This window comes from Homo sapiens, chromosome 7 (assembly GCF_000001405.40).
Source record: "Homo sapiens chromosome 7, GRCh38.p14 Primary Assembly".
Lineage (NCBI taxonomy): Eukaryota > Metazoa > Chordata > Mammalia > Primates > Hominidae > Homo > Homo sapiens.
Genome location: NC_000007.14, coordinates 106,088,866 through 106,112,622, shown reverse-complemented (window position 1 = coordinate 106,112,622; position 23,757 = coordinate 106,088,866). Strand labels below are relative to the sequence as shown.

The window sequence follows — 23,757 nt, the reverse complement described above, 5'->3', positions numbered from 1 at the left end:
GCGGGCCCAACGAGCGCACGCGTACACGCGTGCGCAGGGGAAGACCGAGTGCCAGGGGCTGAACCGCAGGGAAGGGGGCGCGGCGCACGCAGTATGGCGCCCAACATCTACTTGGTTCGCCAGCGGATCAGTCGACTCGGCCAGGTGCGGCCTGAGGAGAAGCCTCCCGGTCTCCGCCCCGGCCCGCCCCTCGCCTCCCCAGCCGCCCCACTCCGTTTCCGCCCCAGAGTCTCAGCCAGCAGCTCAACCGCCGCCGCTCCGCCCCGCCCCGCCCCACGGCCGCCCGGGCCCGCCTCCGAGCCCGGCCAGCGCGCCAGCCCCGCCTGCCCTTCCTCGCCACCGGGCTGCTCTGGTCTCGTCGGTCCCCTCCTCCGCCCCGTCGTCCTGACTCTCTCTCCCTCCTTTCCTCAGAGGATGTCCGGCTTCCAGATCAACCTCAACCCGCTCAAGGAGCCACTCGGCTTCATCAAGGTCCTCGAGTGGGTGAGTGCAGCCCGCGCCGGCCAGGCCCGCCTGCCGCTCGGCGCGGCGCCCTAGGCGGGGAGACGGGGACCTGCGAGCCGGGACGCAGCCCTGCCGCGCGGGCTTTGAGGCCGCCGCCCCGGGACTGGGAGTGGACGGCAGGGAGGGCAGGGAGGCCGCGGCCTGGGCCGCGCGGGGCGGAGACGCCGCGGCGGGCGTCGAATCACGAGCTCCTCGGCCGCCTGGCTCCCAGGGGAGCCACCCTCCCACACCGGAGCTCCCCTCTGGGTGTCCCCGTGGAGTGGGAGTTCAAATTTCCCCTTGGCTCCACTGCCTCCCGCAGAGGAAGGGAAAACTTCCTGCTGCGGTCTAACCGAAACCCGGCGGCCGGCGTCGCGCTCTGCGGAGAGGCTCAGCGGTTACGTCCCTGCCGGTGCCCACTCGAGGTCTAGCTCCCTGGGAAGCCGATTTTGTCTTGTAGACGTGATTTGGCGAGCATTCCGTTCTTAATTTGTTTTTAAGATGGGCTCCGAGTTAAAAATAGTAAAAAAATAAACTGTGGGCCAGGGAAACTAAAGAAAGTCCTTTTAACAAAACGCATCGAGTCAGATCGGTTCACTTAATAACACGTTAGGAATGGACATCGAGTTTGTTTGGGGTATTTCCAAACAACATCCTGTTTAGAAAGTCAGCTTTTAGTCCTTTCCTGAGAACACTCACAATCATTAACATCAAAGAACGCTTATTAATTCGACCTTGGCAATGATCAGTTACTTGGAGGAGTTGGTGAATATACCAGGCACTGCGGGCTTCCTTCAAACTTCGCGGCCCACTACATATTTCTGCAGGCAAGTTGTGTTTATAGACAGCAGCATTTACATCCATAGCTTTTTCGCCCTTTTCCTTAGTGATAGAGTGGTGAAGAAGAATAAGAACTTTCAATTTCCTGTTCTAAATAACCTACCGAGGATGTTTTTAAAAGCAGCGTAGAAACTCAGTTTCTCTGATGGGTACCTAATGTGATTTCCTACTTGGACCATTGTAACCGCGCAAGGGGTTAGGCAATTTCACCATTCACTGAACATTTTGTGTGTTTTCTGAAAACTGAAGTAGTGCTGACTTCACACAAATGACTACTTGAAAGACGCATAAATAAATATACTTGATTTTTTTAAACCTAAGTCCAGATTTAAGTATAAAGAAAACCATGATTAAAGCATTTAAAAATTGCAAGAGGAAAATCTCATTAACGAGGCTAATCAAATATGAACGTTAAGAAAGTCTTATATCTAGATTTAGTCTCATTGAGGATTATAATTAAATGTATAACTAATAATTTAGATTTCCACTTAAATGAAGAGGCAGTTGTTTATATCTGTGCTTATATTTTTTGTCAAGTTTTTAAACAACTGTAGACTTAGCTTTTTCCTTAATATTTCAAGCACTAGTGATAAGTTCATTCGTGTTTTGATGTATTTTGAAAAATATCCCTTTTTAAGCATCTTACAGAAATACTTTCAGTTTGAACAGCTTGTTATTACACAGGAGAGCCTTTTATGAAAAGACTACACATTGTTAATGGTGTGGTAAATATTTGACTATTTTATACCAGATCTGTACTAAACACTAGCATACCACATGAATAAAACATGGTCTTTTTCTCATGATCTATTAAGGATGAAGGACATACAAAATACAAAAATGCCATGTAATAAACTGTGATAAAGGTGTATGCAAAGAATAGTAGAAGAAATGAGGGAGAGAGCATTTGCTTGGAGGAACTAGGGAGGACTTCATAGCTGAGAGAACACTTGAAGGATGGGTACTGGTTCACTTGGGGAGTGGCTTTCTAGGCAGAAGGAATCTTATGTTCAGTGGAAGGAAATGTTGAAGCAGCATAACCCTGTATGAGAACTTAAAAGTAATTGGGGGTTAGTTGGAATATATGCTAGGTTGGAGGGTACGGTTTGAGATTGTTCTGAAAAGATTTCAGAGGTCGGCTGCTTCTGGGGTTAATCTTTGGGAATCTGGGCCCTTTCCTTAGGAAAATGCATATGTGCAGGGTATGGAATATTGGAGTGTTTATTCCATTCAAGCCCAGAATCCCTGCCATAGGGGATGGGAACTTAAAGGCTTTAAACAAGTCAATGATACGACTAATTTTAGGCACTCATAATTCCTCAATCAATCGATTTCTCCCTCCAATTCTGACCTTTCCAATCCATCCCTCTAACTGCCGACAAAATGAAAATTTCTAAAAGGATGAATTGGAAAGGCTAGAATTGGAGGAAGGGAAATCTGTTGATTGAGGAATTATGAGGGCCTAAAATTAGTTTCAGTAGGACTGAAGGGGTTTACAAAAGGGGGTTACAAATTAGAATATATATGGAAGGTAACAAAGAGGGAGGACCCTAAGATGACTGCTGTCTTTCTGACTTCGTTGCCATTAGCATATTCAAGGTAATGTCATTAAGAGGAGGAGGAGCAGATTTTATGGGAAGTCAAAGGTTTCAGATGTATTGAGTTTGTGGTCTCTTTAGATCTTTTGGAGGTATCCTATAGGATACAGCTATATATATGGATCTAGAATTTAAAATATGAGTTTGGGCTGCAGATATAGCAGATATCTGCCTGCAAAGGAGAGAAGGAATGGTTAGGAAAATTGAGGGAAATAATGCCTTGGCATCACTATTAGAATTTCAAGAAAAGAGTACCCCAAAACGTAAGGTGCAATAGAATGGTAAAGTAAAATAAGGACTAGTTGATAAAATAAGGACTAGTTAGCAAGAGCAGTTTCAGTAAAATCAAAAAGCCAGATTTTAGTAGGCTGAATGAATGTGTGGTAAGAAAGTGAAGACAGCATAAACCGCTGTTTGACTGTGAAGATGGGAGAAATTTGGTGGTTACAAAAAAAAGCCACTAGTTCAGCTTACAACTCAGTTGCTTAAATGCATTCTCTGGAGACAACCATTGTATTTGGTATGCAACAAAAGTCTTTATTTGCATTTCCCATTTTATCCTACTGACAAGAGAACTCAAGGGTCAAGGTTTAATAAAATTTTTACTGCTTCATCAGACATTCTTAAGTAAAACTGGTGGGGGTTTTTTGTTCTTTTTTGTTTTTGGTTTTTTGTTTTTAACTGCAAGTATGTGGCAGTGAAATAGAGTTTGGTATTCTTCCTGATTCTTATTAAACCCGGCAGTTTTCCCCACCAGTTTATCTGCTTCATCAGTACAAATGTCAGCACAGTGTAAAAGGCAAATAATGTCTTAGTATCGTTAGGAAAATGTTTTACCTTCATGAACTCCTGAAAGAGCCTTGGGAGCTTTCAGGGGTCCACAGACCACGCATTGAGAATTGATGAGGTAAACACCACTGGGGACCAGAAACAGAACAGAAAATACGGCAGGGAGAAAGACTATTCCCAAATTTGGTAATTATTAATAAATCTGAAGAAAGCTCAACCAACTATCTGGATTTACGACTTAAATAGAGCTGAGTACTTAAAAGTGTAGAAATAAAGAGATATATATAGCCTCTCAAGACCTGGACCAATCTACTTGCAGGCTTAAGGTCTGGATTTGTGATAACGTGTATGTTCACTTATGTTGGTGGTTTGGGGGTCCCATCATAAGGTGTGTTTGTGGACCAGGGGACTCAGAAGGCCAAGCAGAAATGACCATGACCATAAAGCCGCTAGACAGGGATAGAAGCAGGAGGGGACAATCAAGTTGAGCCTATATCAAATATCCTAAAACACATGAAGAAAACTAATTTTTACTTAAAAATTCAAATTATGTCAGTGGCAACAAATGCTGTCAGTTTTCCACAGAGTGACAGGCTTACTTCAAGACAGCCAGCCAGATCAACAATCAGGATATTGATTCACTCCAGAAGACATGAAAATAGTAGAGCAATTAGAAAATGATTTCTATTTTTAAAAATATAAATTATATTTTAAATTTTTAAAAATATAGTCTCTGTCTTGTCCAGGCTGGAGTGCAGTAGTGTGGTCTCGGCTCAATGCAACCTCGCCTTCCAGGTTCCAGAGATTCTTCTGCCTTAGTCTCCCGAGTAGCTGGGATTACAGGCGCTCGCCACTACATCCAGCTAAGTTTTGTATTTTTAGTAGAGACGGGGTTTCACCATGCTGGCCAGCCTGGACTCTAACTCCTGACCTCAAGTGATCCACCCGCCTCGGCCTCCCCAAGTGCTGGGATTATAGGCATGAGCCACCGCGCCTGGCTGATAAATGATTTTTAAATAAATATATTTAGGTTCCTCAGAGATTTAAGGTGACATAAATGTGTTTTCAACATACAATGATTAGGAGTTAGCAAAAAACTTCTAGCTGTTTATTTCAGTAGGAACTCTAGAGTTTACTTCTCATAATCCAATTTTTTTTTTTTTTTTTTTTGGAGACGGAGTCTTGCTCTGTCACCCAGGCTGGAGTGCAGTGGCATGATCTCAGCTCACTGCAACCTCCATCTCCCAGGTTCAAGTGATTCTCCTGCCTCACCCTCCCAAGTAGCTGGGACTACAGGCGTGTGCCACCTTGCCCGGCTAATTTTTGTATTTTTAGTAGAGACGGGGTTTCACCTGGTTTCACCAGGCTGGTCTCAAACTCCTGACCTCAGGTAGTCCGTCCGCCCTGGCCTCCCAAAGTGCTGGGATTACAGGCGTGAGCCACTGCAGCCGGCCATAATCCAAATTTTTAAGGATTATGGAATTATCTTGGCAGGCTATTTAGAATTTTCTACTATTGTACATTAGAAGCAAAGGGAGATAGAGTGAAACTGAAGCACTTTGTAACTGACTTTATTTCCCAGTGGGAATAAACTGAAATACCACCATCAAAAACAATACTTTTTTGAAATGAATAACTTTAGTAAACATTTTGGACTTTGACTCATAAAAATCATACCTTGGCTCTAGGCATCTAATCTTTTGATTGTAAAGGCAAACGTGCTATAATATTTCATTTTAAGTGCTGAATGATCATTTGACTTAAAACCAGCATACATTTCTTTTGCATGTAAACACTCATACATAATATACTTTTATATCTATTTTTGAAGATTTCAGTTATCACTTTGATAAACTAAACCTTGGACAGAAAGAAATTTAAATAGATGATTTCAGATTAATGATGAAATTAAATAGCAATGAAGATCCTGCAACTAGAAACGTGTAAACAACACTCATAAACCAGGTGAATACTAGTATTCTCCAGTAGAATCCTCAGAATTAGCATGGTCTAGCAATAGAAGTTAAGGCTCCAAACTCTTTTTAAATTTTATTTATTTATTTTTTGAGACAGGGTCTCACTCTTGTCACCCAGGCTGGAGTGCAGTGGCACGATCACAACTAATTGCAGCCTTGACTTCCCCAGGCTCAAGCTTTTCTCTCACTTCAGTCTACTGGGTAGCTGGGACTGCAGGTACACACCACCACCCCCAGCTACTTCTATAATTTTTTATAGAGACAGAGTCCCACCATGTCACCCAGGCCAGTCTCGAACCCCTGGGCTCAAACGATCACCTGCCTTGGCCTCCCAAAATGCTGAGATGAACCACTGCACCCAGCCTCCAGAGTCTTTTTTTTTTTTGAGACAGAGTCTTACTCTGTCGCCCAGGCTGGAGTGCAGTGGCATGATCTCGGCTCACTGCAACTTCCGCCTCCCAGGTTCAAGCAATTCTCCTGCCTCAGCCTCCCAAGTAGCTGGGATTACAGGTGCCCACCACCACACCCAGCTAATTTTTTTTGATATTTTTAGTAGAGATGGGGTTTCACCATGTTGGCCAGGCTGGTTTCGAACACCTGACCTCAGGTGATCCACCCGGCTCAGCCTCCCAAAGTGCTGGGATTACAGGCATGAGCCACTGTGCCCAGCCTCCAGAGTCTTTTTTGCACTCCTATTAGTGCAAAATTTTATGGACAGAGCCACAATATGCATCTACAACTTAAGATGCATGTTTTACTATGTCAGTTAGTATCTTAAGGTATATTATATACTCAGTGCAAATTTTGTTTATATTTTTAAATCCTTGCTTCAGATACTATTCTGATAATTTTTTATTGTTGTGCCACCGTCTTGTGATCTGATTAAGTAGTCTGTTTTTACCTTGTAATATGGCTGTTGATTGTAATCATAGAGTAGTATGAATGCTTCCATTTTCTCTTTTATACATGAGTGTGTGTGTTACCAATCTATTTCTTTGAAGACATTTTAAAGCCATGGGTCAATTTTGTGAAGGTTGATTTGGTTAAAACTAGACAAATTATTCCATAAATCCAGGCCCACTCACATTGTAATGCATGAACACTAAAAGTGAAAGAATAGATGAGGTTATCACTGTCTGTCCTTCCATGTATGAGATTCCCCTTACCTTCAGGATACCCAGCATGCTGTACTGACATGTGACCTTCTGATGTGCATGCCCAGCATGGGTTTCAGTGGTATATTAATTGCAATAAAGCTTCAATTCCTTATTTAAGTCTGAAAGTAGATCTAAATAGAAGTTTACATATTTTCTTCTGGTACTCCAGTCTACTTTGGAGACTAGTGCTCTGGAAAACCAGGCTGTACTATTCACCCTGAGGTTACAATTCTCTGAATAAGATCTGCCATGGTGGTCATCTAGTATGGGTCTGGTGGGCAGAGAAGTAAGTGGGACTGTTTCTCTGGATACTTGGGGCTGTATGTGAACATGTAACTTTTCTGACTAAACAGAAGCTTGCTGTCACCCCGCCCCTGGATTCTTACTAGTCACTGTGCAGATAGAATTCCATGTCAGTAGTTTCAGTCATTCTTCATGGGGTAGGAGTATATGGGAAAATAAGTTTCAAAAGTGGCCAGAAAATATAAATCAGAACACCAGTACTCCTTCATTTTAGACTAGGGTTGGAAACTGAAATGGTCATAGGAACCACCCTCTAAAGTAAATGAGTGAAGCAAGATGTTTGGAAGAAAAAGAATAGTATGTCATTGATTACTTACTGGCAACTAACACACATCCTGAGGGCTGTTAAGACAATGGAGAAGCGGATAACCTGGAAAGCACATACTCTGCCATAAGTGACATCTGTCACTCAGTTCTCTCTGATTGTTGCTTTATGAGAATGTAGGTCTGATGTTGCCATTCTTCAGCTTTCCCATACACACTCAGGAAAAGCAGGAAATCCAAATTTTTATGTGTAATACCCTGATATTAAAACAATGACAACAAATTCACATTTTTTTGTAATACTGGAAAGGCCACACAAATATATTTGCAGGCCGGGTTTTACCAACAGGCTGCCAGTATATAACTTCCAGTCTAGATCAAAATAGCAGTAGAATATAGGGAGAAGTGAGATAGTTGGATATTTTGCCCTCATAATTTTGTACTTTGTTTAATATAAAATATGTGCTTTTGTCCCTTCTTTCTATAAGATAAAGACCAGAATTGCTGTCATGATATTTATCTATCCTTATAACAAAAAGCTTTAAAATAATAATTATGTAAGATTCAAAATATGGTTTTATTTATAAGTTATTGGAAATTATTTTTTCCTTAATTAAGTAGTTATTTAGTGAGCATCTGCTATGTGCCAGGTTTTCTGCTAGTCACTGAAAATCCTAAACAAAACCAGGTGCAAAGACATGACAGTCTGGCAAAGGAGCAGTAGAAGTGATAGTCTTGAAAGCAACAAGCTGTAGTGCAGTATGCCATTTATTTGCTACTTGTTATATTAGGAAATTCATTTTTCCATTTAATTTTTTTATTTTATTTTATTTTTAAGACAGGGTCTCACTGTGTTGCCCAAGCTGGTATTGAACTTCTGGGCTCAAACAATCCTCCTGCCACGGCCTCCCAAAGTGTTGGAATTACAGGCATAAGCCACTGCACCCGGCCCCATTTTATTTTTTAGAAAGCAAGTTACACAAGAAAAATGCCTATAGTAGAGTTCATATATAATAGAGTTAATGTCTATGATAGCTCAAGAGAAGAATCATGAGTTCTACCACAGGGAATTGGGTAGGGCCTTAAAAGATGAGCTAATCAGAGACAGGGCATTCCCAGAAGAAGAAGCATATACATTTAAGACATAAATACATGGTATGTTTCAGGAACAGTAAGCAGTATAATGTGACAGAATCATACAGTACCTGGCAGTGAATAGACTGCAGATAAATCTATCTAGAAAGATAAAGTTGAGGATCGATCAGCCATGCCTTTTATGCCAAATTAAGAAGTTGGAGCATTTTTTGTTTAATTTAGGTTGAAAAACAATTGAGGAAATTCCTTTAAATGGGAAGGACATGATCAGATTTTTATTTCAGATCAGTTTGGCATCATTCTAAACTAGCTCTGTCCAGTACAAAAAAATACAATGGGAAGCAAAAATGCAAACCACATAGTAATTTTCAGTGTTCTATTAACCACACTAAAATAAGAGGAAACAGGTGAAATTAATTTTAACAATATATTTTACTTAACCCAATCTATCCAGATTATTGTTTGAACAAGTCGTCAATATAAAAATTAATGAAGTATTTCACATCTTTTTCATAGTAAATCTTCAAAATCTAGTGTGTATTTTGCAGTTGGAGTATATATCAATTTAGATTAGTGACATGTAAAGTGTTCAAGACTCACAAGTAGCATTACTGGGTACTGCAGCTATAGTGCCCACATTATAGAAGATGAGTATCAATTGGAATGAAATTGGAAATGTGAGAAAGAGTCTGCTGGGTTAGTCCCAATGAAAAATGGTGAGGGCCTGAACAAAAATAGTGGCAGGTGTAATGTAGGCAGGTAAACAGAGCTTTTTAAAAAATGGTTTTATAGTCTAGGTAGTCATATGCAACATGGTTTTTATTTTGTTTTTGTTTTAACTCAGCATTGGATTTCTATGATTCATCTATGTTGATGTAGGCAGTTGTAATTCTTATATCTTTTTTGCCGTATAACTTCCCAGTGTAAGAATATACTATGGTATTTTATCCATTTCCCTGTTGCTTTTCCCCTCCCCATTTTTCATGAACATTCTTATATGTCTCTTAGTACGTGTGAGCAAGGGTTTCTCTTAGATCTATATACTAGTAAATCCTTTGTGACATTATGTTTATTATAAATATGTTCATCTAATTGGTAGCTTGTTTTACATTCAACAGCTGACTTGATTAAGATTTTTTTTCTGTAGTTGAATTTAACAATCTTTTATGGTTCTTTTTTACAAAAAAAAATCTTAAATTCTCCCTTTTCATGTGGTCACAGGTTTTCTTTTATATTGTCTTCACATTTTTTAAAGACTTTTTACTTTTGTGTGCAGCTCATCTGGACCATTTACTGAACAGCTCTTCCTTGTATTAGTTATCTATTGCTGTATAACAAATTACGCCGAGCTTAGCAGTTTAAAACAAAGGTCTGTTGACTTTTATTAAGTGAGATAATAAACCTCACCCATTCTTCTGTGGGTCAGGAATCTGGGAGCAGCTTAGCTATGTGGTTTGGGCATAGGGTCTCCCATAAGGTTGCAGTCAAGCTGTTGGCTGGGGTTGCTGTTATCTCAAGGCCTCCAGCTTATTCTCATGACTGTTGACAAACCTCAGAGGATCCCCTTCCAAGCTCAGTCATGTGGTTACTGGCAGTCCTCAATTCCACACCATGTGAGTTTATAAAAGTTGCCTGAGTATCCTCCCAACATGGCCACTGGCTTCCCCCGGAGAATGAGAAAGTTCGAGAGAGTGAGAAAGGAAGACAGAAGTTGCAATCTTTGGCCGGGCGTTGTGGTTCAAGCCTGTAATCCCAGCACTTTGGGAGGCCAAGGCGGGTGGATCACCGGAGGTCAGGAGCTCGAGACTGGCCTTACCAACATGGTGAAACCCCGTCTCTACCGAAAATACAAAAATTAGCCGGGCATGGTGGCAGGCACCTGTAATTACCCCTGCTACTCAGGAGGCTGAGGAAGGAGAATTCCTTGAATCTGGGAGGTGGAGGTTGCAGTGAGCCAAGATTGCACCATTGCACTCCAGCCTGGGTGACAGAGCGAGACTGTGTCTCAAAAAAAAAAAAAAGTTGTAATCTTTTTATAACTGAGTCTCAGAAAAGACATCCCATTTCTTCTACAGTACCATATTCTATTCTGTAGAAGCAAGTCACTACATTTAGTTGACACTCAAGGGAAGGGAAATCAGGCTCCATCTCTTGATGGGAGTTGTATCAAAGAGTTTGTGGGCATATCTTTAAAACCACCACATTCCTTTCCTCCGTGATCTACAAATCAACTCTGTTAGATACAATTTGTCTTATACACACTAGTCTATTCCTGGCCTTTTTATTCTGCTCCATTGGTTCAATTTGTGTATCTCATTTCTTTTCTTTTTTTTTTTTTTTAATTTAAACGTGGGTATATGCTCAGGACTCATTTTCTGGCCTTTTCACTCTGTGTATTCATGCATATTTATTCTGAGAGAGTATTGATTCTTCCATCTTTACCTTCTTTTTTAACATAAAACATTATTTAGTACAAATAATGAAAAATGATTTCATGACACATTTTCCAAGGAAAGTTACTTTTACATATTTTGAAATCCTGTAAAAACTGGGGATCACCTCTTAACAGTTAAGACCCCAAACTATGTGCTGGACATTACCTCAGACTCTTCCTATCTGTAACCAGATTCTTTTCATGTATCTTTTTTGTGGGGGGGGGGGGGGGGGGGGGGGGGGGGGCGGATGGGAAAAAACAAACCCTTGACAATTACTATAATGTGGATTATGGCCTACAAGATTCAAGGCCCTGGAATAATCCATGGGAAGCATTATGTCAAGTGTTCCACAGTGAATATTTGATATCAAATCTGCATTGAATATTATCTACTACCAGTTGCTGAGTGTGTGTGACCTTGAACAAAACGAAGCCCCTGACCTCTTCAAGTTTCTATTCTAGGGAAAGACAGACAAATTAAGTACTGTGTCAAGCAGTGGTAATTAGAACAGAGCAGAAATAGAGTAGAGGGAATAGGTAGTGCGGGGTAGGAGTGCTGTTATTTGATATAGTGTGGTGAGGGGAAGGTCTCTCTGAGAAGGTCATACTGGAACAGGAAGCTATGGAAGTGAGGGAGTGAAGCATGTATTCCAGGCAGAGGAAATAGCCAGTGCAAAGGTCCTGAAGGAAGAGTTTATCCCGTGTCATTAAAGGTATCGCATGGAAAGCAGTTTGTGTATACAGATTAGGTAAAGGAAAAAGTAGCAACATGAGGTCAGAAATATAAGGGAAGAAAGGATCTTGCAGGCCTTTATATGAACTTTGGTTTTTATTCATAGAGAGCTCAAAAGCCATTGGAGGGTTTTGAGCAAAGGATAACATTTTCTGCCTTACATTTTTAAAAGATTGTCTTGGCTGTTGTGTTGATAACAGACTGAAGCTGGGGCAAGGGCAGAAGCAGAGAGATCATTTAGAAGGCTGTTAGTGCAAAATTCAGGCAAAAGGTGATGGTAGTTCAGATCAGGAGGCAGTACAAGTGGTCAGATTGCAAATGTATTTTGAAAATAGAGCCATCACCACTTGCTGAAAGATTGAGCTCCTGGACTTTAACAGCGCATCTGGAATTTTTTGCTTACTTGTGTTGTTTTGTAGAAAATTCACAAGTACAAAAATAAAAAGGAATTATTTATCTTCCTTTGAGAGGTGACCAGTGTTAAAATTTTGATGCATAACCTTTCTAGTTTTTGTTGTTTAAATCTACTTTGTATGTAATGAACACTTTCTATGTTGTTAATCTCCAACATTCTATGTTGTTAATTTCCAACAGCTATATAATGTTTCATTGCATGAATGAATGAATGGATGAATTATAGTTTGATTCCCTGTCAACATTTAGGTTGCTTCTAGGTTTTTTGTGTTTTAGATGGTATTTGAGAGAACACCATTCATTTTTTTAAGCATATACATGATTAGGAAAATAAGTTTCCAACAACTTTTTGAGACCTGGAAATACCCACAAGGGAGGTTTAACAGGCTCATGAAATAGTGTCTCTTCTCTGCTGACAACCTCTTGGCTTTACAAATTACTGGTAACTTGTGTTCCAAATAAAAATACCTCCAATTCACCCCTTTTGATTTTATACTAATAAATGAGTCTCCCTCTATATTTCATACTAATACTTAGTGGATACACTAAAGTATGAGCAAATGAATTGTCATATGGGCTGGTACATTTATTTCTATATTATACTCCGGGGAAAATAAAATCACATTTGTCGAGGTTTGCAAATGAATGTTTTAATGTCTTTCACCATCTTAGTTTGTGTTTAAGAATTTCTAGAATGTAGCCAGGCATGGTGGCACACTCCTTAGTCCCAGCTACTTGGGAGGATCACTTGAGAGTTCAGGGCTGCAGTAAGCTATGATTGTGCCACTACACTTGAGTCTATACAACAGAGTGAGACTCATCTCTTTAAAAAAGGGTAGTGGGGGCTGGGCACAGTGACTCACACCTGTAATCCCAGCATTTTGGGAGGCCAAGATGGGAGGATTGCTTGAGTTCAGGAGTTCAAGCCCAATCTGAGCAACATAGCGAGGCCTCATCTCTACTAAAATTCAAAGAAAAATTAGCCAGGTGTGGTGATGCACACCTGTGATCCAGCTGCTTGGGGGACTGAGGTGGGAGGATCACTTGAGCCTGGGAGGCCAAGGCTGCAGTGAGCCCTGATCGTGCCAGTGTACTCCAGTCTGGGCGACAGAAACCCTGTCTCAAAAAAAGAATTTCTAGAATGTTAGCCAATTTTTAATAATCAGTGTGCTTACAGTTTTAGTGACCCTTGTTTTGGTTGTAGTATTGCTTATCTTTTTTTTCTTTTGTCTTTTTTCATCTTACTTTGTGTAGATTGCTTCTATCTTTGCTTTTGCCACCTGTGGAGGTTTTAAGGGCCAAACAGAAATTCAAGTGAATTGTCCTCCTGCAGTTACTGAGAATAAAACTGTTACAGCTACTTTTGGTTATCCATTCAGGTGAGTTATATTTATTTTAATGGTTTCACAACTCTTTTTACTTTCACAGTGAGTCATTAAGATTTCCAGCAATTTATTGATTGTGGGGGGTAGAAAATTTTAGACTGTATGCTCATTTGTAAGTGATCATTACCTCCCAAACTGTGGTACACAGACCCATGCCTGTCTAAAAACATCTCCTGATCTGTGACAAAATAGTACAGAAAGTGAGAGTAAGCATTTAGAAACTTTTATAACAATGTGATGTTGCCTTGATAATTTTATTCTAACAGAGGATTGGAAATGTAAAAATAAAGCAAACTAGAGATTGTTCTATCACCTTAGTATAAGAAGCCCTAATGTAGAAGGAAACATAACTTAGAAAAATCCAGATTCTCAGTGTTTTTTGTAATTGCTGAATATTAATGTCTTTATATAGTTTTAAGACATATGTATATAAAGAGATTCCATATTTCATTCATTAGCATAAAGCCACACTTTCTTAAAGTAAAATGAGTATTTCATCTGTGAAGTCTTGTTTGACATCAGTATCCATTGAAAAGTTTATTGAATATGTCCTGTGTTTAAGCCAGGGTGGGAATCTTCTTTCACTTACTAATTTTACTTACTTCACCCAAGACTCAATTTTTTGGTCCAGTAATTGGAAGTATTATCTTGTAAGGCTGTTTTGATGATTAAATAAAATCCCCATATTAAAGATAAGTCAGATAATAAGTGGTTAATCATCAAAGCCTCTCTATCTTGTATCCTTTCTCCTAGACACTTCTCACATAAGGGACTGTTACAGCATCTTTAGTGACAAGTTTTTTACAATTTATGGTTGGGAAAAATGAAAGGCAATATTTATTGTTAGCAACTATTGATCCAGGGTTAAAAATGTGAATCATTGTTGTGATTGGCTCTCTTGGGGCTAGTCACACATACTCTGCCACACAGAATGAAATATGATGTCTCAAAGTATAAACCATTTGGTATAATCTCTCCTACCTAATTGTTTACTGCAGGAAGATAGTATCTGGGTATGAAAGTATTTAATTCAGTCTATATTCAATGTATCATAAACTAATACCAGGTATAACATATACATTTATTATGAAAATTTCAGTTTACTTAAATATAATATTTGAATTTTACTTTTTTCCCCAAAGGAATGTTTTTAATATATTTGGGGAGTATTTTTTGAAGTGTCACTCATTGTTTTGCTTAAATGTTTCTGTCTCTGTTGGGAAAGTCCAATAATTCATACATTTATTTTAATAGGTTGAATGAGGCATCATTTCAGCCACCTCCAGGTGTAAACATATGTGATGTAAATTGGAAAGATTACGTCCTCATAGGCGATTACTCTTCTTCTGCACAATTCTATGTTACCTTTGCAGTCTTTGTGTTCCTGTACTGCATTGCTGCCCTTCTGCTTTATGTTGGCTACACGAGTCTGTATCTGGATAGTCGTAAACTTCCTATGATAGTAAGTAATCACTTTATTTTTTAAATACAAAAATAATTTGTATAAGCTAAATATAGATTTTCTTATACTGGAAATAAAAATTCTTGGTGTAAGCCAGTTCAGCATATTTTAGCCTGTGTTTGCCACGAGGTTGAGCTTTCTCCCATTAAGTTTAACTCAATTTTTTTTAGCCTATTTGCACTATAAGGAAAGTTTATTTCTTTTTTAAATCTATTTTAACTTGGAAAAAACTCAGATATGTAATAAAGCACATCAGGTTACAAATAGCAAAAAAATTAAGTCGAAATTCTTTTAATTTGAAGAATTACTTATCACAACATAGTCTCATAACTCTTTCTGCTTCTTACTTTTTTTCTTTCTCTAAAGGCCCACTTTATACTTCTACAAAACTTATTGAGTTTAATTATATCATGGGTTCACAAACTATGTCCCAGAGGTCACTGTCTTATTTTTTATTTTTACTTCTTTATTTATATATTTACTTTTTGAGACAAGGTCTCGCTTTGTCGCCCAGGCAGGAGGGCAGTAGCACCATCTTGGCTTGCTGCAGCCTCAACCTCCTGGGCTCAAATGATCCTCCTGAGTAGCTGGGACTACAGTCACAAGCCACCATACTCAGTTACTTTTTGTGTATTTTTGTAAAGACGAAGTTTTACCATGTTGCCCAGGCTGGTCTCAAACTCCTGGGCTCAAGTGATCTGCCTGCCTTGGCCTCCCAAAGTGCTGGGGGTTATAGGTGTGGCCAGGAGCCTGGCCTTGTTTTTTTAAATAAAGGTTTTTTTTGGAACTCAGCCATACACAATCATTTACACATTGCCTATGGCTGCTTTCACACTGCAATGGTAAAGTTGAGTAGTTGTAACAGAGATAAAAAATAGTTGCTATTTGGCCCTTTTCAAAAGAAGTTTGTTGATTCCTGGTCTATGTCCCTAAACTCCTTAATTTAAAATCAGACCCAGGTAATTCTTATACTCAGCATTAGTGGCAACCATGAACTAATTTTGAATCTTTGAGGTATCAACAAAGGACTTAGATTTGAAGTCCTATACTTTTGGCTTCAGAGCCTACTGAGCTAGAAATATTCTCTGAGATTTAGTTAGTAGAATCTGCCCTGGATTATTGGTGGCAAATCCAGAGAGAAATCATGGTTTTAAGCTACACCTCCACTATAAAAGAGTAACTACAAAGTCAGTTATTAGTGACTTAAAGGGAAAACAGAGGTGTTTTTTATGTGTGATACTGGTCATTCATATGTATGAGAAAACACATCTGCTAATTATTTGTGAAGTTACTTTAAAGGGAAGGCTATTTAAATATGAAGGATTATTAAATAACATTACAAGTTTTATTTACATATTTATTTTTAATTTTGCTGCTGGATCATAAGAATGGAAATGGTAAGTAATACAACAGTCTTTTATCATTCATATTTAATTCTGTTTCTTATGTCATAGGAGACACAAGAAAACTAGAGGTTTTCATAAAATACTTCTCGGTTGTTAAAAAGATAAGACGTCAACTGTTTTAATTTGCAGTGCTTATCCAACATACTTGTTAGGAATCTGTGTCTTCTGCAGACTTTTCAAATCTTATTTAAAAGGGAACTGGAATAATCTTATAGATAATTATATTTTGTTAAAATTCTTTATAACTAGAAGCTATTTCTTGCCATTTTGTCATCCCAACAAATTTTTTTACTAAATCTATCAGTGTGCCCTTTATTTCTCATATTTTGTCTAGTAAACTTTTAAAAATACTACCCTTCTTAAAGCAGCATTCCAATCTATTTTTGTAGGTGGTTTTTGTCTGATAAAACTATAAAACTGACCTAGTTGCATCATTCAGAAACGTAAAAAGTAATTTTCCACCTCAGAATGACCAATTAGTGGTCATATAAAGAGATAATCCAAAATTCCTTAAGTAGGTTTTTATTGTTACATAATGGGTGCTTCTTGTCTATAAAAGTCTAGCTTCTAAATTTAATTTTCAGTTCTATTTTTAATGTAACCATAAAAATATTAAAAGATTTTCTTTGAGAGACTGGGTGCAGTGGGTCATGCCTGTAATCCCAGCACTTTGGGAGGCCGAGGTGGGTGGATCACTCCAGGAGGTCAGGAGTTCGAGACCAGCCTGGCCAACATGGTGAAACCCCATCTCTGCTAAAAATACAAAAATTAGCTGGACATGGTGGTGGGCACCTGTAATCCCAGCTACTGGGAGGCTGAGGCAGGAGAATCGCTTGAACCCAGGAGGTGGAGGTTACAGTGAGCCAAGATCACACCACTGTATTCCAGCCTAGGTGACAGAGCAAGACTCCATCTCAGGGGAAAAAAAAAAAAAGGTTTTTTTTGAGATACCCAAAATTTAAGATATAGCCAAATATGACATTAATTTTTAGGTACTATTAATGAGGACAAGCCCTTTTAGCAATATTCTCAATTCTGTGCTAAGGTGTTTCTAGGAGTATTTCAGTTATGAAAATTTAAATCTACTTCAATTCTCTTTTGAAGTAAATATAGCACTTTTTTTTTTGTTAAGTAGCAGGAGTTTAAGGTTTCAAGGCAATGTGGAAAATTGAGAATACCAGAAAATGAATCCAAACAAAATTAGGGTATCCCAAATTCTAAAAATCTATGACTCATATTGTGAATTGTTGGGAGGAGTAGAGCTGCCCTAGGCAGCTGCAGGTTGTGCATTGCAGAGCTCCAGGTGGCACCATTCGCTTAGAGTGCAGTGTGACTAGAGTCCTGAGTAGAGCAAATACTATCTGAAGGGACCAGAATTCCCCCCACGTTCCTTCAACCTAGGTTACTTTGTGCATCATTTTCAGAAAAGTTCCTGCTTTTGAAATATAAGAATGGCCTCAAGCCATCAAAGTGGATTTAAGAGTATAACTACGAAAAAAAAAGACTTTGGAAGGAAGAAAATACCTGAAAATTAGGAGGATTTGACATATATTGATCAAAGTTGTGAACTTTTCCGTAAAGAGAAATTATTTAACATGCGATATAACCTCATGTTACTCATCAGTTTTCCAAAAAACACTGTATTTCTAGCAAGCGTTTAGAAAATGTCTACCTGCAGCAGAATGTATAGCAGATGTACAGCAGTAAAAAGGGGGGAGTACTTCCACAGTGCAGAAAATATAAGCTATATTTCTAGCCTTTTCTCTTTGAGCTACGGTTTTTAAAAGGACAAGTAGCAGCAGAGAGCTCAGATACAAAATGCATGTACTTCCGTGTTCATGTAATTAGTAATTATTTTTGGTTCTCTAATCCTAAGTATTCATTCAGTGTTGTCTTGACCAAGTGGGCAAGCTATATAGCATAGCTTCTATATCTCCTAAGAGATCACTGGTATTTATCCTAAATATTAGGTTGGTACAAAAATAATTGTGGTTTTTATCATTAAAATAAATAGCAAAAACCATAATAACTTTTGCACCAACCTAATAAATGACTAAAAGGTGGCTGGCAAAATAATTAAAAACTAATTGGGTTTATTTAAAAAACAAAATGCTTCTGTGATAAGCTCCAAAATCCATTCTGAGGTTAGAAAGATTTTTGCTGCAGATATGTAAGAGCTCCTATCCTTGAGTGTACGCATATGTTTAGCATATATAGCATCCAAAAGATACAAATTTTATATTATTCCTACCCTGGTCATTAATTTGAAGGAAGATCAAACAAGATTAGACTTATGATCTAAAATATTAAAACCACCCATTAGAACCATTTATTCTAAAATATTAAAACCATCCCATTCTTTGTAATAAATAGCAAAGGATTTAGTACAGAGTTAATAGTGATAAGGTGTCTTGGGAGATTTTTGTTGTTGCCTTTTTCTTAATATAGTGAGCATTCTTAAAATTTGTGGTTAGGAAATTTAAAAGAGATACCATTCTGGTGTGTGCTTTTCACCATTTTATTATCCATCTCATGGAGAATTTGGTTTAACTAAAGTTAGAGTTTTGCAGAAGAAGGATAAGTGAGTTGAGAGTATGTGCAAGAGATGATAATGAAGGCCCTTAGAACAGAAATTGATTAAAATAAGTGAGGACATTAGTGAAGTGGTGATACAGTAAGAAAGCAGTAGGATCAGATTGTAGGTCTTGGTGGGGTCAAAGGAGTTTTAGGATTGGGGTGCCAGAGACAGTGAGCTGGAAAGAGGTGTTATGGGAAAATGGGATGATCAAAACAGAGTATGGAAGGATACAGTTATTGGTGATGACAAGGTCTAAGGTATGGTCCTGGGAGTAAGTGGCTGAGGTGAGGTTATGTTGAAGGCTGTATAAAACTTTGGTTTCTAGTGTGAAAATCTTAGACTTCTGAGGGGATGACTGAGTCTTATTTACTGTTGTAACTCAGGCACTGTGCTTGTAACACTAACAGCAATGTTTACTATGCTGACTGACTTTTTTAATAAAGTATATCATGAAGGCCATTTCTCAGCACCATAAGGTTGAATGTAATCTCAGTTTCTTCATCATGGATTTGAAATTTAGTATTAAAATTAACTGTTCATTATTAACTCTTACTGATTTTTGCTTTAGGACTTTGTTGTTACACTTGTTGCCACTTTTTTGTGGTTGGTGAGCACTTCAGCCTGGGCTAAAGCTCTGACAGATATTAAAATAGCTACTGGTCACAATATTATTGATGAACTTCCGCCTTGTAAGAAGAAAGCAGTACTGTGTTACTTTGGCTCTGTGACCAGTATGGGATCCCTAAATGTATCTGTGGTATGTATGCATTATTTATAATTTTTTTCTTTCATATATTTGTTTAAAGTACTAGTAATTCAGGAAAGCAATAGCTTTCAGTAAATCTCTGGATGGTTTTTATTTTTACTCAGCTACCTGAATTCTAGTAACAATATAGTGTTTAGTGAAGAAAAGTTTGTCTAAAAAAAGTATTACCTGTAACCAAGATCATGATTTTATTCATCTCTGAGACTTTCTTTCATCTAGTCAGATTTATATCTGGGAAGATTAATTTCTTTTTTTTTTTTTTTTTTTGAGATGGAGTTTCGCTATGTCGCTCAGACTGGAGTGCAGTGGCATGATCTCGGCACACTGCAACCTCCGCCTCCTGGGTTCAAGTGATTCTCCTACCTCAGCCTCCCAGGTAGCTGGGATTACAGGCATGTGCCACCACTCCCAGCTAATTCTTTTGTATCTTCAGTAGAGACAGGGTTTCACCATATTGGCCAGGCTGGTCAAACTCCCGACCTCAAGTGATCTGCCTGCTTCAGCCTCTCAAAGTGCTGGGATTACTGGCATGAGCTGCCACACCCAGCCAGGAAGATTAATTTCTTTGAGGTTAACTCATTGGGATGGGAAGTAAAGTTGTGTGACTCCTCTTTTTTTGTGGCTACAACTGTTGGATTGGAGTAGAAGAGATGGTAGGAGGGGGTGATAAGTAAATGGGAAAAGTTACACAAGCAGTTGATAATCATTCTAAATAGGAGAAAAGTGAAAAGTATTTGGAAGAGTAAATCTCTTAGCCATGATTTTATATGTTAGAGATTTAGCCTTATTTCATTGGGAATAAGTCATTATATAACCACATTTTGTACATTGAAGTGTAGTCTTCCTTATTTCTCATTGTGTGTAGTATTAAACTTTAAGTGAAATAATGGCGTACTTCCTAAAAATGTTAAATATTTAAAGAAAAAGTGAGATTTTTAAGTAGGGCATGAATTTTTATAAGTAGGTATTTGATTTTCATATTTCTTTTTCTCTTTCATAGATATTTGGCTTTCTAAATATGATACTCTGGGGAGGAAATGCTTGGTTTGTGTACAAGGAGACCAGCCTACACAGTCCATCAAATACATCTGCCCCTCATAGCCAAGGAGGTATTCCACCTCCTACCGGAATATAATTAAAGGGAGAAATACACTGTATGAAGTATATGTTGATACTATGACATGTTGCCAACACCTTGAGAAGCATTATTTGTTTCTAATAAAAGTAATGGCTTTGTCAATATATTGGTGGGTTTAAAACTTTGCTGCTTTTTTACATAAAGCCTGTGCCTTTCCTAGAAAGTTAAGATGTAAATGTATTCTCACATGTAAATTTGAAAGTTCAGGGGTCTATTATGAAATGATACACATTTTTAAATGAACCATAATTTTTTTCACTAAGCTGTTTGCCTTCCAAAGTGTTTACACCTTAAGCCTTAACATGTATCTTCATTCAGAAAACAGTTATATTGTCATACCATAGTAGGAAGAAAAACCTTTATTTGGAATATACACTACTGTAAGTTTGTACAGATCATATACCTACCACCTGTCTTTGCTTAAAGAGCCTTGATTACATAAATATGTAGGAAAAAACATATTGAGTTCAAAATTTATATCTAACATTGTTTATGTTATGATTTTTTTTTAATTGCAAAGACTAGGTGTATATTTTTTTCTGTTTTTCTAAATGACCCGTGGTACTTAATAGGTGTACTAAAATTGTGTTGGGAGCAGGGATTTGGAAATTTCTGAGAGATGTGTAGTTAATTTAGTAATTCTGTTTCATGAGATATGATCTGTTATGCTAGTGGTTTAATAGGCTTGCTATGTAAGTAGAACGTGGCTCAACTAGATATCTTTATATGTATGGGCATTACTCTTAGTGATATTTGTTTCCTGTCCTTTGTTGCTCATGCTGTTTAAGTGCAGGCTGAGACCCAGCCTCTTTGTAAGTACAGTAAAATAATCCACCGTTTTTTACAGACCCTAGTCAAAGGGTTAAAAAAATTAAGATTGCTTTCCATGTTTGAAATTTACCATTGAGAGTCAATGAAGTTGCTATTTTGAGTTTAGCATTGATATTGTGAAAATAAGTGCAATTTGGATTTCATGTTTCTTAATATTCATTCTTGTTTCACAAATGAATGATTAAGGAATTATGCATCATAAAGGAACCTAAGTGAGGTATATGATGAGTGTATTGTCTTTGCACACACATATAGGTATATTCTGAATACAAGCTTATTCACATTTTGCTTCCTAATCTTTTTGTTGTACAGGGATTCAGGTTTCTTATTCTTACAACATGATTGTTTATATGTGAAGCACATCTTGCTGTTGCCTTATTTTTGATGCTTTTATTCATGACAAGAATTGTCAATATAAGAATGTATATCTTTTTTGCAACCAATTTAATAAAGGAGTTGAAAGAAAGAGTGCACTGATTGTTAATATTACAAAGAAACCTTCATCTTAAAGGCATTGAGCAGTGCAAAACAGAACTGATTTTCAAAGCAGGAAATAGAATCACAGTTTTAATGTTTGGCAAGGAATAAAACAGACAGAAATGCTTTGGAGACTATGGTTCTATCCTTTTTTCTTCCGACCTCATTTAGAAAATACTTATTTGCAACTCTTAGATTGTTTTCCTGATATACCTTTTCTCATTAATTGTCTAATTAACTAGCAAAGATTCCTGCTTAAGAGTGTGTGCTCTGCAACCGAACTGCCTAGATTTGAATCTTGTCTACACCACTTACTAGCTGTTTAACTGTAGGCAAATTGCCCTCTGTGTGCCTCAGTTTGCTTATGTGGAAGTCGGAAATAAAGTAAGTAGTTCCCTCCTGTTTACTGGGGATATGTTTCAAGACCCCCTGGGATGCCTGAAACCAAGTGTAGTACCAAGCCCTATGTGAACTGTCTTTTTTCCTATCCATACATGCACCTATAATAAAGTTTATCAATTGAGCACAGTAAGAGATTAACAAGGACTAATAATGAAGTGGCACAATTAAAACCATACTGTAGTAAAAGTTATGTGAATATGGTCTCTCAGAATATCTTACTGTACTGTACTACGGGGAACTGAAACTAAGAATAGTTAAACCACTTTCCTGATCTCAGTGTGTTTATGATTTAAAAGTGAATTAACAAATGTAAAGCCCTTAGAACAGTGTTCCGCATTTAGTAGGCACTCTATAAATGTTAGCTACGATTACTAACTTTTGATAGCATCTGATATAGAGATTCTTAAACTAGGAATTCATGGGGCTGGAGCCGTTAGGGTGGTGGTTTTGGACAAAGAGAGGATTGGCGTCAGGCTTTCAAGCTTGTCCCTTTACAATCCTTAAAGAGTTCTGGATCTTTTGGTGTGTTTTATTTTTCTGTTGGTTGACATTCATAAGGTTAATGAGATCAAAATTTAAAACTTAAAAGTATTGAGATTAAAGTAGATCTTAAAAGGACTTCTATTGCCTTTTCCCTTTGTGCTTTTGAATCAACATTACAAGGTTAACCCATTTATAGGATAATTTCCAGGAGAGAAGCAATAAAAGCTTTACTTACTAGGTGTTAGGTTGTAGAGAATTATTTATAAAAAAGATGAGCATTACTAATGTTTTAGTGAACAGAGGTCAGTTGAATAGATGTTTAACCTACTGTAAATGTTAAAGGCAATATTGCTTATGTTTCACATTTAAAATTTTTTCATATAGTATTTCAGATTAATAGGTAAGTATACAAAATAATATTTAACAAATGCTTTATTTGCATCAGATGTTTGTTTGTTGAGACAGGGTCTTACTCTGTCACCCAAGCTAGAATGCAGTGGCGCCATCTCAGCTCCCTGTTAACCTCCACCTGCCAGGCTCCAGTGATCCTCCCACCTTGGCCTTCTCAGTATCTGGGACTACAGGCACGTGTCACCATGCTTGGTAATTGAAAACATTTTTTGTAAAGACGAGTTCTCACTATATTACCCAGGCTGGTCTCAAACTCATGGGCGCAAGCAGTCCTCCTGCGTCAGCCTCCCAAGTGCTGGGATTACAGGTGTGAGCCACCTCACCCAGCGTTG

At 38.2% G+C, this 23,757-nt stretch overlaps 1 protein-coding gene across 15 annotated transcripts, besides 4 other annotated features; it reads left to right on the top strand.

Annotated features, from left to right (window-relative positions):
- Positions 44–533: a silencer, noted in NCBI's record as "silent region_18528". NCBI's record gives its function as "represses an Ori minimal core promoter by ATAC-STARR-seq in GM12878 lymphoblastoid cells {active_cell/tissue: GM12878}" and the evidence as "EXISTENCE:reporter gene assay evidence [ECO:0000049][PMID:35858748]".
- Positions 44–1,081: a biological region, named in NCBI's record as "H3K27ac hESC enhancer GRCh37_chr7:105751988-105752820".
- Positions 47–22,118, top strand: SYPL1 (synaptophysin like 1). 15 transcript variants are annotated; one of them, NM_001381919.1, is made up of 7 exons: positions 47–144; positions 412–483; positions 13,341–13,465; positions 14,726–14,933; positions 19,486–19,674; positions 19,954–20,059; positions 20,684–22,118. In NM_001381919.1, exons 1-6 carry the CDS (start codon positions 94–96, stop codon positions 20,035–20,037), a joined length of 729 nt encoding a protein of 242 aa, NP_001368848.1. In that variant the 5' UTR covers positions 47–93; the 3' UTR covers positions 20,038–20,059; positions 20,684–22,118. The 15 variants fall into 15 exon arrangements, 13 of the variants coding, with proteins under 13 accessions (NP_001368848.1, NP_001368847.1, NP_001368839.1 ...); NM_001381918.1 differs by having other exon boundaries at positions 19,954–20,075; NM_001381910.1 differs by lacking the exon at positions 19,954–20,059 and adding an exon at positions 1,233–1,310.
- Positions 249–1,081: an enhancer, noted in NCBI's record as "H3K27ac hESC enhancer chr7:105751988-105752820 (GRCh37/hg19 assembly coordinates)". NCBI's record gives its function as "activates a minimal SCP1, AML or CMV promoter by ChIP-STARR-seq in naive and primed H9 embryonic stem cells {active_cell/tissue: H9 hESC(naive and primed)}" and the evidence as "EXISTENCE:reporter gene assay evidence [ECO:0000049][PMID:30033119]".
- Positions 544–793: a silencer, noted in NCBI's record as "silent region_18527". NCBI's record gives its function as "represses an Ori minimal core promoter by ATAC-STARR-seq in GM12878 lymphoblastoid cells {active_cell/tissue: GM12878}" and the evidence as "EXISTENCE:reporter gene assay evidence [ECO:0000049][PMID:35858748]".
- Positions 22,119–23,757: the final 1,639 nt, after the last annotated feature.